The sequence below is a fragment of the Homo sapiens genome, chromosome 6 (genome assembly GCF_000001405.40).
Source record: "Homo sapiens chromosome 6, GRCh38.p14 Primary Assembly".
Taxonomy (NCBI): Eukaryota; Metazoa; Chordata; class Mammalia; order Primates; family Hominidae; genus Homo; species Homo sapiens.
This window is the reverse complement of record NC_000006.12, coordinates 110,736,605-110,753,824: the sequence shown is the minus strand read 5'-3', so window position 1 is coordinate 110,753,824 and position 17,220 is coordinate 110,736,605. Positions and strand designations below refer to the sequence as shown.

Sequence of the window (17,220 nt, the reverse complement as noted above, 5' to 3'; positions counted from 1 at the left end):
TGATGTGCAAATTCAATTCAGTAAATTGTTTTTCATTAAAACTCTCCAAGATATGGTTGCATACAAATGTCAAATAAATATGAACACCTTAAAAAAAAAGAAATTATACAATTAATTCATCAATTAAAACATTATTCTAAGCCAAGCATTGTGGTTCACCCCTCTAATCCCAGCACTTTGGGAGGCCAAGGCAGGAGGATCTCTTGAGCCTAGGAGTTTGAGACCAGCCTGGGAAACATAGTGAGACCCCATCGCTACAGGAAAAAAAAAAAAAAAAATCCAGGTGTGGTGGTGCACACCTATAGCCTCAGCTACTCTGAAGCTGAGGTGAGAGGATTGCTTGAGTCTGGGAGGTCGAGGCTGTAGTGAGCCATGATCGCGCTACTGCACTCCAATCTGAGTGACAGAGACCTTGTCTAAAAAAAAAATAAAAAATTATTCTAGTTGTTTTGAAAGTTTTTTTTGGCTAAACTAATAGAGATTTCTAAAATTTTATAATTTTAGAGCTTTTAAAATACTAAATATTTATCTGACTTGGAATTCTAAATGAAGGAAATAGTATATAATGAAGATCATTTTTAAGAGAAAGATAACTAGCTAGGTGTGGTGGCTCACGCCTGTAATCCTAGCACTTTGAGAGGCCAAGGTGGGCGGATTGCTTGAGCCCAGGAATTCGAGACCAGCTTGGGCAACGTGGCACAACCCTGTCTCTACAAAAAGTACAAAAAATTAGCCTGGTGTGGTGGAGCATGCCTGTAATTCCAGCTACTTGGGAGGCTGAGGTGGGAGGATCATCTGAGCCCGGAGGTCGAGGCTGCAGTGAGTTGAGGTCGTACCACTGCCTTCCAACCTGGGTGCCAGAGTGAAGCTCTGTCTAAACAAACAAACAAACAAATAAAAAACCAAAAACAAAAAAAACCCGAGATAACTAGTCAATCAGTTTGTAAGAAAAAGGAGTAGGCTAGGTCAGTGGCTCATACTTGTAATTCCAGTACTTTGGGAGGCCAGGAAGGAGGATTGCTTGAGGTCAAGAGTTTGGGACCAGCTTGGGCAACATAGTGAGACCCTGTCTCCATACATACACAAAAACAGGAGTAAATAAAGGTAGTCTTTCTAAGAAATGAAAGCAAAGACATAATCAAACTGTTGTCACATTTTCATGTTGCGAGGGAATTCTTAAGTTGAATAAAGAAGAATAGTACTGTATTTTGGTGATGTTTAGAGATAGAATAGGTGAAATATTTGGTGGATGAAAGCATAATTTTTGAAGCACATTTTTGTCAGAAAAGGAAAGGAAAGCATAAAGAGTGTGCTAGTATTATCTGACATCATTCATTAATAAGAAGAAAACAAAATAATAGCAGTACCTTATGTTGGAAGATTTTAAATGTTTCAGAATTACTTTAAAAGACTATTCAAACTAGAAAAATTCTTGATATTAAAGTGTTACGACATTGAACTATTTATAAATGAAATGGAAAGATGTCTGGGATTTGTTTCAAAATAATTAAGAAAAGTAGAGGCAGTAGAAATAAGGCTGTCCACGAGTTGATAATTGTGGGATGGGTACATGCAGCATTACTGTCATTTATTTATTTATTTTTGAAAAATTTCATCATAAAAAATTTAAATATGTTATTATGTAATAAAGAATACTGTTTCCAAATAAGGGATCATTACTACTAGGCTGGCTGAATATTGGGCTCATGATGATACTGAATAATTCAGAATGATACCCATATGAAACAAGATGATCTTTTTTTTTTTGTTATTTCAAATTTTTATTCCACATTGTGTTTTAAAATTATTTTTCCATGTTGTGGAAGCCTCCTACTCGGCTAAGCCAAATCATCACATAATAAAGGAAAGGGATACAACATTGATTTATTTCATCATTCTTCTTGAAGAAAAAAATAGTTGGCTCAGATGTCATATGATTTGAAGAATGTCTTTTTTTTTTTTTTAATCTGACCAATGGATGCACATCACATAGTTTGAAGAATGTCTTACTAGTAACACCTAGTTGTAAAAACTGGTAATACTGTCTTATTTTAGATACTGTATTTCTGATGATTTCATGATTTGAATTTGACTCATAAGGTTTAGAAAAAGCAAACTTCATAGAATTGTTTGTCTTCTAAGGCAGTGGTCTCCAACCTTTTTGGGACCAGGGACGGGTTTCGTGGAAGACAGTTTTTCCACAGACCCAGCAGGGTGGGGATGGTTTCAGGATGATTCAAGTGCATTACATTTATTTTGCACTTTATTTGTGTTATTATTACACTGTAGTATATAATGAAATACAACTCACCATAACGTAGAATCAGCAGGAGTCCTGTGTTTGCTTTCCTGCAACTAGATGGTCCCATCTGGGGGTGATGGGAGACAGTGACAGAACATCAGGCATTAGATTCTCATAAGGAGCATGCAACCTGTCTCTTGCACGTGCAGTTCACAGTGGGTTTTGCACTTCTATGAGAATCTAATGCCGCCACTGATCTGACGGGAGGTGGAGCTCAGGTGGTAATGGGTGTGATGGAGAGTAGCTGTAAATACAGATGAAGCATTGCTTGCTCGCCCACCACTCACCTCCAGCTGTTCAGCCCTGTTCCTAACAGGCCACCAACTGGTAGGGATCTGTGGGCCAAGTGTTGAGGACCCTGTTCTAAGGGATATGAAAGAGAAGTATTGGGCTGGGTGTGGTGGCTCATGCCTGTAATCCCAGCACTTTGGGAGTTCAAGGTGGGTGGATCGCTTGAGGCCAGGAGTCGAGACCAGCCTGGCAACATAGTGAAACCCTATCTCTACCAAAAATACAAAAATTAGCTGGGCGTGGTGGCATGCGCCTGTAATCCCAGCTACTCCAGAGGCTGAGGCAGGAGAATTGCTTGAACCAGGAAGCGGAGGTTGCAGTGAAGCCAAGATTGCACCACTGCACTCCAGCCTGGGTGACAGAGTGAGACTCTGTCTCAGAAAAGAAAAAGAGAAGTATCTTCAGAACTGTTTCCTTCCCTTCCTCCCTCCCTCCAGTTCTTTCCTGGGCACTCAAAAGTCTTCTTATCTATGTGCTACTTCCTCTAGGCAATATCATCACATCTATGGATTCAAACCTTTCAGTCTGAAACTCTGCTATAGTAGACGCTTAGTAAATAAATATCTTCAGGACATCTCCTTTTTGAACTTCCGAGATATTTTCATTTTTGGTTGGGGTTTCTTTCTATGTAAAGGAATCATTTATAAGCTACAGAATCTTCTGAGATCTGATATGAACCTTGTTCTTAGTGGCATCATCCTTGCATCAGCCAAGCTCAAAACCTCAGACTCATCTTTGACTCTTCCTTCTCAATCTTTTCTGTTCATTTGGTCCCATCAATTCCTCCTTTAAAATGACTATCACAGGTGTCCCTTCTTTTCTCCTGTCTTATTACCCCTCTGTCATGAAGAATTGGAAGAGCTGGTCTTAGCTCTGCCTCTGGCTGCTGGCCTAGTTTCTTCATCACTGAAGTGAACAGATTATACAGGATTGTCTTAGATCCCTTTCAGAGCTAACATTCTGTTCTACTCATCCAGGTTTTCACCTTCTCACACTTACATCACAGTAACTTCCTAATTGTTTTTCATCCCTTTAATCTTAGTCCTCTCTAATAAGATTAACCTTCATATGTAATTTTCATTGCTTTTAGGATAAAATCTTAGGTTTCCAGGTCTTCATTTAGGTCATGTCATCATTTCTTTGGTTAATGGTGTGATCATTTGGCTGGGCGCAGTGGCTCACGCCTATAATCCCAGCACTTTGGGAGGCCAAGGCGGGCGGATCACCAGGTCAGGAGTTCGAGACCAGCCTGGCCAACATGGTGAAACCCCATCTCTACTAAAAATACAAAAATTATCTGGGTGTGGTGGCGGGCACCTGTAGTCCCAGCTACTCTGGAGGCTGATGCAGAAGAATGCTTGAACCTGGGAGGCGGAGGTTGCACTGAACTGAGATCATGCCACTGCACTCCAGCCTGAGCAACAGAGCAAGACTCTGTCTCAAAAAAAAAAAAAATAGTGTGGTCATTCATATGATGAGGCAAAATAATGATTTCTGTTTTTTGCACAGATGTGTGCTTTTTATATTTTCTACTCTCTATAGAATTGTTTGCATCAAAAATTTTCCAGAGCCAGGAGGGCGCGGTGGTACAGGCCTGTAATCCTAGAACTTTGGGAGGCTGAGGTGGGCGGATCACTTGAGTTCAGGAGTTCGAGACCAGCCTGGCCAATATGGCGAAACCCCATCTTTACAAAAAATACAAAAATTACCTGGGTGTGTGGTATGTGCCTGCAGTCCCAGCTACTTGGGAGGGTGAAGTGGGAGGATCATCTGAGCCCATGAAGTTGACACTGCAGTGAGCCCAGATCGTGCTACTGTACTTGGGGGACACATTTGTCTCAAAAAAAAAAGGAACATAGTGTCTCAGATGGAAGACCTAATAGAATTGGTCTGTGTCAAATTTATTTGTTCTATTTTGTTACGTAATGTTCACATCAAACAATTGTTTTTCATTGTGACTGCTGAGAGTGAAGTTTTCATGGTGTTGCTACATGTTATAGACATATAGAAGAAACATCTTGATATTTAAAAATTCTATATAGCATTTATCCATGTTTATAGTACAAATACATGTATTTTTAATTCTTCTGGATGCATTTAGTAAATTCCTCTGATTAATTTCAATATGCAGTTGCTCTAATCATACTATCTAATATACACGAAAATGTAGAAAACAGTTTCTCTGAAGGCTTTGGAATTGCTTTGTCTATCTTTATGTTATTTAGAAATAAAAGTAATTTGGAAATGAAATAGTTTTAAGGAGGAACTAAGCTGCCTCTAAAAGCTGGATTATCATAGCAGTGTAGGCTAGGCAGGTTCACCTGCTTTTCAGCTTTGTCATGTAAAATAAAAAATTGTTCTTTTATGATATTTAATATTACATGTGCCTGAAACATCTAAGCTGTGAGGTATGAATTCCTCTACTTGGAGGAACTCCTGGAGAGGGGCACTCACGTGGGATGAGAGCAATAAAGCTTCCCTGTCTCATGTGCCTAATCATTGAAATATTTCTAGACGTTGTGTTAAAGGATGCATGTTTTGTCTTCAGACTAAGGTGTTGGCATATGCCCAAAGATTGGCATTCACGTAGTACAGTGCCAAGAAGTCCCATATGCCCTCTGGGACCTTGCAACTTCTTCATATGGTGAACCTTAGAGATGCTGCATCATCACTTACCATCTGACAGTTAGTTTACAAAGAGAAATAGTAATGATATATGTACTTTCTTTCATTCTCAATTTAAATGTTGCAAATAAATCTTAAAATTGCAAATTTTTTAGTATTTTATTTTAGCAGGTGGAAGTTATATTTAAACTTATTAAGTGAAATAATTACTGGGTTTGTTCCTTGTTCCTGTCCACATAATTTAGAGTAAAAGGCCTATGCTCAGTCTCTTCTGTTCAAGCTTTCAAATTCCTTTGACAGCCTGGATGTGAAATTCAAAAGCCATTAATTTGATGTGTTAATTTTGCACTTTTTGACTTACTGCAAAGATCTTATAGTTTCCATAGCAACTATAACCTATCCAGATTGTGTAATATTCTTTACAGTATTAAAAATAAAACTATGCAATTACATGAGCTTCTGGACTACTTTGTCTAGGGGAACTGAGGATTGAAATGTTTCTGTTGAAAAAATTATAGTTTCATGTGAAAAATTTTTTAGAAAGCTTTTATAATTTTGTTTCAAGAATACATCAAACTTAAATATTTAGCAATAGATACCTGATAGATAACTTAATTATTAAATGTATAAAATTTACATCGTAAGCATTGTGTTGAGCTTCTCAGGCACATGTGCTCTCACTCTGTACCCACAAATACATTTAAGGCACAGGAGGGACACTTGGCTTTGATTACATTCAATCACCTGCAGTTTATGCTTCTTAATGGCTTCTGAGTGGTCTGAAAAAGTCTGGTTTTATGTCTGGGCAAAAAACAGGATGGAGAAAAAGGAAAAAATGATCATTTAAACTTTCCTTATTTTTGACTTTGCTTTTTAAAACATGCCTGAGCTATCACTTTGAAAATACTAAAGATTGTTTTAGTAGGTATTCTCAGAGTATCAATTTATTTTGGCTTTTTAAAGGCAATATAATATTAGCACTAAAGTTAGTTGACATAACTTCCTATATCTTAACGTAACTGTTAATTTTTTGTATTGCCTTCAACATATTTGTAGATGTATATTTTTATATAGTATAATTTGTGTATTTTCTCAGTAGTATATGGTAAATATTTTCCATGTTTCTAATGACCTTCTAGCCATCATTTAAAAAATTGCATCATAGTCCATCTTGTTGACATACCTAGTATGTTTTATTTGTCAAAATACTGTTTAATTATTTCCTGAATGCTATCTGTTGGAAGAAAAATGGATATAATTTTCAAACTCATTGTGAGGGAAAGTAACCATAACTCAATTATTTGCTTGAAGATGATTGTGAAAATCTTCAAAAGGGATTTAAAATGGTGTTTTAAAATGTGGATTTTGAATAACATCCTAAACTGCTCTATCTGCAGGTAAACATAGAATGGGGAAAATGAGGAATAGCTAAGACAGATGTGGCACTACTTTGGCGCTATATTTGACAAAAACATCATGACATGGTGATACTTTGCTGAGGCTCTAATATGATCAAAAGACAAAACTTGGAAGGCATGGATTTAACTTCTCTTATAAGAACAGCTCACAATATGAACTATAGTTATGACATTCAGCTGAGACCTTTGTGTGGCTGGTTCTGGTATCAGCACCCTTGAGAATGCTTACTGTACTTACTGTATTGTACTAGCTGCTTATCTCATACTGTTAATATTTTAACAGAATGTTTCACCAGATTTTGAACTGCTGTATTCTCTTGGTTAAGCAACTTAGTAACTGTTGGGATTTCCCAGGATTCCTAATACTATGTCCATTGTTTGAAAAATCCACTTTAACTACTGGGTTTCTCCTAGTGTTCCTGAGAATGACATGTTGGTGGCTAGAGCTTTGAAATCTTTAAAAGGCTTTTGATTGAGGTCCTCGGGCTTTTGAATGTCCCCATGCTAGGTGAGATACAGTGTGTTTTAGTGGGTTATGATTCCTATAAAGCTTCTTATACTATGAAATTACTTTAAATGAATCTGGGAGTTTATGTCTGTCAGTTTTTTATAGTGAATGTCTATAACAGAATGCTTTTGTTGACTCCAGGTAATTAAGACAGGAGTGGAATTATCTTGCAATATGTTTGAGTTTATATTTATGCTTGTTTACTCTTTGAAACTAGTGCTGTGTTTAGTATCCTGTTCTGTTTCAATTTTGAATTTTGTGTTTTCGCTGTGTCTGATGTTTTCATTGTGACATGAATTTCTTTTGGTATCTCATATTTCTGTAGTTGAAATATTATCAAAAATAATAAGCAATACATGGTATAATGAGAATGTTTACATATCACTGAGAAATTAAGTGCATTTCCATTGTTTTTGTAGTTATAATTTTGAATCTGAAAGTGATATATGGAAAAATGATGTTTTTTTGTTTATGTGCAGAAAAGATGAAAAGGAATATGCATTGAAGCAAATTGAAGGCACAGGAATATCCATGTCGGCTTGTAGAGAGATTGCAGTAAGTGGATACAAATACAGTTATTTATTTTATTATTGATATTGGGTGATGATTTATTTTAATATAAAAGTTTCATTAATATATATAATGAATGTTTATTTTACATATGTTAGTTTAAGAATATTTTATGTAGAGTGAGAAAATCTGCATAAACTTTTTATTTTATTTTTAAATTTTGAGACAGGATCTCATTTTGTTGCCCAGGCTGGAGTCCACTGCAGCGTGAACCTCCTAGGCTCAAGCGATCTTCCTGCCTTAGCCTCTCGAGTAGCTGGGATTACAGGCATGTGCCACCACACCTGGCTAATTTTTTAATTTTTTTGTAGAGAAGAGGTCTCCTTGTGTTGCCTAGGTTGGTCTCAAACTTCTGGGCTCAAATGATCCTCTCTCCGTGGCCTCCCAAATTGCTGGAATTAAAGGTGTGAGCCACCATATGTAGCCCATAAACTTTTTAGTTACTTGAAAGTCATCTTTGAATATCCTCTTAATGATATTTAAGATTTGTGATCTCAGAAATACTGAACAAAATGATTTAATTTATTAAAATTGTGATGGAATTTTATTTTAATTAGTAATTTAATTAATGTCTATTTTTCTGTAGCTTTAGGACTGATAAGGTCTTTATAGAGGAAGGGGTCATACTATTAAATCTTATTCATTTTAAATACTATTTCTGAAATATATAATATAGTGAGATGTTATTAGTCACCAGAAAATAAGACCATTATAATAATAGGATAATCCCTTAAAGAAAATAGTTCCCTGTTTTGGTCTTTATATATCATACTAGTACATTTAAGAAATGATTGTTCACAAGAATACTAAACATTTAATGAGTGTGTACTAGATACCAGGCTTACTAAATGGTTTCAAGTATTAATTCACTTAATTTTCACAACAATCTGTGAAATAAAATTTTAATATCCCCATTTTACAGATCAGAAAACAGAGGCAAAACTAATTATAGCTCAGAAGGCTTACTATTATATTACCTTATTTTAGTTCTTCAGTAAAGATTGCTAATTAGGGCTTTACCATAATATCACATCTATTAGAGATGTTTGTCTCTAAATTGTTAGAAATTTATTTAAATAATTGTTACTTAATAATTGTTAAATAATTATATTGTCCGTATCCATTAGGGATTTCTCTCTCTAATTTAATAACTATTACATATATTGCCCACAGTTCCATGTTTCTGCTTCACCTGCATGGAAACACTCCTTCATCGCTTTTAGTCATAAGAAGTGTGGTGCAAAGAACACATGGGGTGGGAAATCTCTAGACCTGGATGTCTGTCTGCCTTAGTAGCTAAGTAGTGATCAGTTCCAGTTTCATCTGTTAAATAAGGGAACTATTAGGTCTCTTCTAATCATACCTTCTTTAATTCTAGAATGGGAGCCTCTCCCTGGACTGTGTGTACTTTGAGGGGCAGACCTTGTCTTTTTATCTCTAGTTCCTACCATAGTGTCTGACATAGCAAGTGTGCTATAAATGTTTCTTGAATAAATAAATGAATGAACAGAATGAAAAAATTCTACCAGTGGTCCACAATTCTAAGTTTGTGTTACTTTTATTTTTAAATTTTTTTTTAGAGACAAGGTCTTGCTCTGCCACCCAGGCTGGAGTGCAGTGGCTTAATCATATCTCACTGTAACCTTGAACCCCTGGCCTCAAGCAATCCTGCCTTGGCCTCCCAAAGTGCTGGGATTGCAGGCGTGAGCCACCATGCTTGGACCTATGTTTGCTTTAGGATGCAAATTGTTTGAAAAAATTCTAATTTGGTGATTTTCCATTGATTATAAAGTGGTATTTGTGGCTGGGCATGGTGGCTCACACTTATAATCCCAGCACTTTGGGAGGCTGTTGGGGGGGTGGATCACCTGAGGTCAGGAGTTCGAGACCAGCCTGACCAATATGGGGAAATCCCACCTCTACTGAAAATACAAAAATTAGCTGGGTGTGGTGGCATGCGCCTGTAGTCCCAGTTACTCGGGAGGCTGAGACAGGAGAATTGCTTGAACCTAGGAGGTTCAGTGAGCTGAGATTGTGCCACTGTACTCTAGCCTGGGTGAAAGAGCGAGACTCTGTCTCAAAAAAAAAAAAAAAAAAAACGTGGGGAGGTATTTGTAATGTTTTACCAGATAAGCATTTGGTAAGTGATTTGTCACATTTTAAAATCCTTACATGTTATTATATCAACCAATATAAATATTATTGGTGGGCTATTTTTCTATGTTAGAGTACCATAATTTAGCACAGCATTTTCAGCCCTACCTTCCATGAATTAATTGGGTAAATAGCTGAAATTTTAGGTATTGATTAATAGGAAGTGATAACTCAATTATAAATGTCCTTTTTGAAACAGAGACTTCTATGTGCCAGGGAATCCATGGGCATGTGTGTCTTTATATAAATTTGGAATGTGATGGAGAAACTTAACTCTTAAAATCTGTTACAGCCTTCATTCTTTTTTTTTTGTAGGAGACAGAATCTCACTCTGTCACCCAGGCTGGGTTGCAGTAGTGCAATCTTGGCTCAGTGCAATTTCCGCCTTCTGGGTTCAAATGATTCTCCTGCCTCAGCCTCCCAAATAACTGGGATTACAGGCGTGCACCACCATGCCCAGCTCATTTTTTGTATTTTAGTAGAGACAGGGTTTCACCAAGTTGGCCAGGCTGGTCTTGAACACCTGACCTCAAGTGATCCACCCGCCACAACCTCCCAAAGTGCTGTAGTTACAGGCATGAGTCACCACTCTCAGCCATAGCCTTCATATTCTTATTGAGAGTTTGCCTAATAGAACTTTAGAAAGTGTGCAGTTTCTAGGTTGAATAGCATTTTATCAGTACTCTAAATACTTAACCCCAACATGATAGGGATTTTCACACAAGTTTACCATGGATGGTATTGCACAGTGACTGTGCACATATGTCTTATACATTAAGCCCACTAACACAATTTTATAATTATTGTTTTATTGGGGGAACCAGCTCCTAATATTTCAACGTATGTTCTTTCTATTTTCCGTAAGTGTCAGCCGGTCTGAGAAATAAAGAGAAAGAGTACAAAGAGAGGAATTTTACAGCTGGGCCTCCGGGGGTAACATCACATATCGGTAGGTCTGTGATGTCCCCTGAGCCGCAAAACCAGCAAGTTTTTGTTAGGGGTTTTAAAAGGGGAGGGGGTATACATACAGGGAGTAGGTCACAAAGATCACATGCTTCAAAGGGCAATAAAGATCGCAAGGCAAGGGCAAAATTAGAATTACTGATGAGGGTCTATGTCCCGCTGTGCACGTATTGTCTTGATAAACATCTCAACAGAAAACAGGATTCGAGAGCAGAGATCCGGTCTAACCAAAATTTACTGGGCTGTAATTTCCCAATCCTAGTAAGCCTGAGGGTACTGCAGGAGACCAGGGCGTATTTCATTCCTTATCTCAACTGCATAAGACAGACACTCCCAGAGTGGCCGTTTATAGACCTCCCCCCAGGAATGCATTCTTTCCCCAGGGTATTCCTTGCTGGGAAAAGATTTCAGCAATATCTCTCCTACTTGCACGTCCGTTTATAGGCTCTCTGCAAGAAGAAAAATATGGCTCTATTCTGCCTGACCCCGCAGGCAGTCAGACCTTGTGGTTTTCTTCCCTTGTTCCCTGAAAATCACTGTTATTCTGTTCTTTTTCAGGGTGCACTGATTTCATATTGTTCAAACACACGTTTTACAATCTATTTGTACAATAGTGGTCCTGAGGTGATGTACATTCTTGGCTTACGAAGATAACGGGATTAAGAGATTAAAGTACAGACAGACAAGAAATTATAAGAGTATTATTTGGGAACTGATAAATGTCCATGAAATCTTCACAATTATGTTCAGAGATTGCAGTAAAGACAGGTGTAATAAATTATAAAAGTATTAATTTTGGGGACTGATAAATGTCCATGAAATCTTCACAATTTATGTTCCTCTGCTGCGGCTCCAGCCGGTCCCTCCTTTTGGGGTCCCTGACTTCCCGCAACATTGTTTTATGTATTTGTCCTTTACATCATATTGAAGAAAAGAGTTACAGACAAAAATACATTTATGATTTCTTTTCTCTTTACCTATGTCATTATTTTTACTGGTGTTCTTAATTTTTTGTGTGGATTTGAGCTACTGTATAGAGTCCTTTCATTTTAGCTGAAAGCCTCCTGTTAGTATTTTTTTGTATATCAGGTATACCAGCAATGTATTCTTTCAGTTTTTGTATCTGGGAATGTCGTAATTCTTTTTCTGTCTTACCCAGCTCTTCTTGAGTTTTGCAGTATTAGTGTTGTTGGATGTAGAATTCTTGGTTGATAGTCTTTTTCTTTCACACTTTGACTGTGTCATCTCTGCTTTCTGGCCTTCGTGGTTTCTGATGAGAAATCAACTGTTAATCTTGAGAATCCCTTGTATATGAAGAGGGTTTTTTTTTTCCCTCTTGTTGATTTCAAGATTCTGTCTTTGTCTTTGGCTTTGACAGTTTGCCTATGATGTGTCTTGGTGCGGCTTTCTGAGTTATCTTACTTGGAGTTTGTTGAGCTCCTTGGATGTGTAGATTAATGTTTTTCATCAAATTTGAAAAGTTTTCAGCCATCATTTCTTTTTTTTTTTAATTTATTTTATTTTATTTTGTTTGAGACAGGATCTCACTCTGTTGCCCAGGCTGGAGTGCAGTGGCATAATCATGCTCGCTGCAGCCTTGACCTGCTGGGTTTAAGCAATTTTACCACCTCAGCCACCCAAGTAGCTGGGACTGCAGGTATGCACCACCATGCTCAGCTAATTTTTTTTTTTTAATTTTTTGTAAAGATGAGGTCTCACTATGTTGTCCAGGCTGATCTCAAACTCCTAAGCTCAAGTGATCCTCCTGCCTCATCCTCTCAAAGTGCTAGGATTACATGTATGAACCGCTGCACCCCACCACAGTCATCATTTCTTCACATAATCTTTCTTTCCTTTCCTTTCTCTCTTCTCTTATTGCAGCTCTCATTATACATATGTTTATAGGCTTCATGGTGTCCCATGGATCTCTCTCCAAGGCTCTGTTCATTTTTCATCATTCTTTTTGTTGGTCAGACTGGATACTCTTAATTGTCTGTCTTTAAGTTTTCTGATTCTTTCTTCTGCTGTTGAGCCCCTCTGGTGAAATTTTCATTTTAGTTATTATTTGTTTAGTTTTCCTGGTGGTGGAAGGACAGAGTATATAAGGGAATTGAGAGTCAGAGAGGCTAAGAGGGACTGATAGATTGGGGAGAATGGAGGCAACACCATAAAGAGTAGATAGGGCTTGTTCTCTGTCATCTTCCTTCTACATACCATTATATTACCTAATGCCTAGTATTTTGTAGTTCATATAGGCACACATAGCTGAGAGGATTTTAAGGCGGAAATAATTAGGAATGAACATTTCACTCATTACTTTAAAACTTGGGACTATGATTGCAGAATAACTGTTGAGGATATAGTGGGATGCTGGGAAAATAAGTTAAAGAGCTTGTAATCATGGAATAAACTTGGAAGAAGTACAAGTTTACAGAAAGGAAAAACGTTTAAGAATGAAATGTGTTATTACCTCGTCTCACTAAAAAAGAATGTCATGTCACGTTTTAATTTCATTTGAACCTTATTGACCAAAGGCTAATTATAACCTCATACCTTTGTACAGTGCTTTACACTTTACATTATGCCACAACAGGAAGTAATTCTGGGTGATTAAAATACCAGGATCATGTGAACGTCAGCATTTTTAGCCTGGGATTACAGGGAAGTTCTAATATGAAGTCTATTACATTTGTGGCCTCTGTGATCTTAAGGTTGGTAGGTTGAAAACGTGGTAAATGCTATTAATTCAACCATTAATTTGTTTTGCGATTATGAGATTAAAATATGTTTGTCGTAAAATTAGCAGACAATATAGAAAAAGGCTGGTAAAAGTACCTGTTATGTCAACACTCAAAAGTAATCATTTTTTTTTTGTATATTCTTCTAGACTTTTTTCTTTGCAAAAATACAGAGAATTTTTCCCCCCACAAGAGCAGAGAGTCCATTAATTTTCATGAAATATAATTTAATCTGGAATAATACAAATATAAATTTCAAATTTATTAATCATTCTAGTTTTGTAGGATATAAAGATTATAAGATTATTACCCTTGAGTCTAGGTGTGGTGGCCCCCACCTGTAATCCCAGCACTTTGGGAGACTGAGGTGGGATGATTGCTTGAGGCCAAGAGTTTGAGATCAGCCTGGACAATATTGTGAGACCCTGTCTCTATAATAATAATAATAATAATAATAATTAGCTGGGCATAGTGGCACTCACCTGTAGTCCTAGCTACCTGGGAGGCTGAGGTGGGAGGATTGCTTGAGTCCAGGAGTTAGAGGTTACAGTGAGTTACGATTGCACCACTACACTCCAGCCTGGGTGACAGAGTGAGAACCCCATCTCAAAAAAAAAAATGTATATATATAAAATACAATAAAATATTATTACTCCTGAGTACTTCTAACAACATCGAGATATTTCCAAATGAAGTGAAGAGTGGCTGAAGGGAAAATTAGGGGGAAGTAGGGTGAAGGGCATAGGTTGAGGAGGTGTCTTAGTCTGTTTGGGCTGTCATAACAAAATACCATAGACTTGGTGGCTTATAAACACCTATTTCTAACAATTCTGGAGGCTGGGAAGTCCAGGATCAAGGCCCATTCAGTGTCTGGCCCATTCAGTGTCTGGTAAGGGTCCACTTCCTAGTTCACAGATGGACGGCTGTCTTCTCCCTGTGTCTCCACATGGTGGAAAGCCAACCATTTCTCTCGGCTCTCTTACATAAGGGAACTAATTCCATTCATGAGGGCTCTGTCCTCGTGACCTAGTCACCTCCCAGAGGCCTCATGTCCTAATATCATCACTTTGGTTAGGGTTTAGGATTTCAACATACGAATTTGGGAGGGCAAGGGGCATAAACATTCAGTTTATTGAGGAGGGAAGAGAAATAGGGAAATACTGACTTCTTCAGACTGCTGGCAGCAGCAGTCTGGCTTGGGTTGCTGATTAACTCCACTTCCTCATTCACCTCTGCTCAGTTCTTTCTCAGTGTATATATCCATCAATATCCCAGCATTGATGTTTCTGTGGTGAGAGGCAGGATCAGCTGAAAGGGGCTGTCACTTGCAGTTCTTCCACATAGTGCCCAGCAGGCAGGGTGGAGTGGAGCAGCACTTTTCCTTCTTTCTTTCTTTTCCTCTCTTGCCACCATGGTGGTGTAGCAGGCTGCTTTGTAAACTTCAGTGGAATCCTTGGAACTTTCCTCTTGGCATAAAGGAATAAACCTTTGCTTTTTTAAATTTATGAAGTGGAATTGATAGAATGTATGTTTGCTGAGGATTCCTCTGAGAAAAACTCTAAAATGTCTATAAGCCAAGGCTCTAATTCTTTTTAATTTAATTTCTACCAAGCTTAAAATTATTTTATTAAATTATATGTATAGTGAGAAATATCTATTTAGTTTTATTAAGATTATTTAATTACATTATCTCAGTTGTTTTTATATTTTGTTTGGTTGTTTATTTATTTATTTTTGAGACAGAGTCTTGCTCTGTCACCCAGGCTGGAGTGCAGTGGCGCGATCTCGGCTCACTGCAACCTCCGCCTCCCAGGTTCAAGTGATTTTCCTGCCTCAGTCTCCTGAGTAGCTGGGATTACAAGCATGTGCCACCATCCCTGGCTAATTTTTTTTTTTTTTTGTATTTTTAGCAGAGATGGGGTTTCACCGTGTTGGCCAGGCTGGTCTCGAACTCCTGACCTCAAGTGATCTGGTCACCTTGGCCTTCCAAAGTGCTGTGATTACAGACATGAGCCACCACACCTGGCTTGTTTTTATGTTTTACACTGAGTGCAAGTTTCTTTTTCTTTTTAAATATGCGTGCAACTTTATGAAAGTATAGATTAGTGGAAATAGATGTGTGAATCAAGTATTTTACCTTTTCTGTGAAAGGGACAAAATCAAAGTTTAGTACTGAGATTTTTGTAAAAAACACTCAAAGTAGAAAAAGAATTTTTTTTTCAGACTTTTAACATGATGTTCTGTAACAGTTATTTTCTTTAAAATTTGGTATGGTGTTAAGAGAATAGAACTAAGTAAATGTGAAATTTCCCTTGAGCAAGATCTGTTCTTTGGTGTGATCCTTGTGTTTTCCTTAAAAACAAACAAAAATTTTACTTTTGGAGTTGAAGACTCAGCATGGATATTTCCTTATGAAAAATGTGGGTTTTTTTTCCTTGCAATATATGGTGATAGTTAATATTTTTCTCAAATATATATTTAGCTTCCTTGGCAAAATAAAGACTTTCTGCCAACTCCTATACTTAAAAATGAAATCTTGTAAGAGTTTGGGATTGGAGTTTGCTATTATTTTAGGAGGATTCTGGGAAACTAATACAAGGTCAGTGCCTAGGGAGGAACTACACTGTAGCATTTTTTATTTCCTTTTAAGACCTGAAAAGGTACAAGGAGCCAGCGAGCAAATAGAACCTCCAGTCCTATCGTGTATCTGTCTGTTGTCTGCTCTACTATGCCTGTTAAGTCATGAGACTCTTGGAAGATGTGTGTGTGTGTGTATGTATACACCTATTGGACTATTTTTCAAGCTACTATGTTTCCTATGAGAAGACTAAGTGACATATTTTTGTATTGTCAGAAGGTGATTTAAACACCGATTATTGCCAGTAATAGAAAAGAGGTGGGCCATACAGGTTTCTGGGGTTTTGTTCCTTCTCACTTTTGTGTTACTCACTTTTGTGAGAAGGAACAGTTTGAAAAAAGATATCAGCTTTGCTCATCAGTTTCTGATGTGTGTGTGTATTTGTGTGTGTGTTATGGTAAGGGAAGATGGGATGGTGTGGTAACACAAGTCATAGATGTAGCTGAAAACTTTTCCATTTCCGCCACCCTAAGGGAATAGACTAGTTAGCTGTTAGCACAACCTTTAGGCTCTTGTGGTAGCTGCAGATGCTTTCCTTCTTTGAAGAATTGGTGGCTTATGATGGAAAAGTTGGCTTTCTGCTGTGTCAGTATCCCTCCCTACTGAGTACATCAGTAGAGTTATTTTAGTTCTCCTAAAAATATAAAAATTATCAATTTAATATTCTTGCTCTAAGCAGTTAGATTTAATTGGCCATTAATTCCCTATTTTTAGTGTTTATTTTTCTCTTGAATAATATTGAAGCAAAGTTGTGCTAGTGATATAAATGCAGAGTGAAGAAAGACTGAAAATAAATCTGATACTGGTATGTGAGGGGCTTGGCTCCGAGTCTGAATATAAATGTGCAGTAAATGGTGCTGGTTTTTGTTGTTGGTATTATTATTGGTAATAACTTTTTCCCATTTAAACTCTAAGCAAAGAAAATAGCTTAACTTGTTTTCACTGTGGTCAAAGTAAGTTATTCTTAAGACCATAAATTTCATTTTAAAATGTGTTCTTATAGAAGATACCAA

The 17,220-nt window shown here is 37.3% G+C and overlaps 1 protein-coding gene across 15 annotated transcripts in view; it reads left to right on the top strand.

The window, feature by feature from the left end:
• Window positions 1-17,220, top strand: part of CDK19 (cyclin dependent kinase 19) — a 205,878-nt gene that overhangs the window by 62,031 nt on the left and 126,627 nt on the right. For 14 of the 15 annotated variants that reach the window (XM_047418470.1, NM_001300964.2, XM_011535630.3 and 11 more), the window contains one exon: window positions 7,624-7,699. In XM_047418470.1, the coding sequence (XP_047274426.1) occupies window positions 7,676-7,699 (24 nt within the window). In that variant the 5' untranslated portion in view covers window positions 7,624-7,675. Of the gene's footprint in view, window positions 1-6,615; window positions 7,145-7,623; window positions 7,700-17,220 lie in introns of all 15 variants that reach the window. The other variant, XM_047418468.1, reaches the window with a different exon arrangement.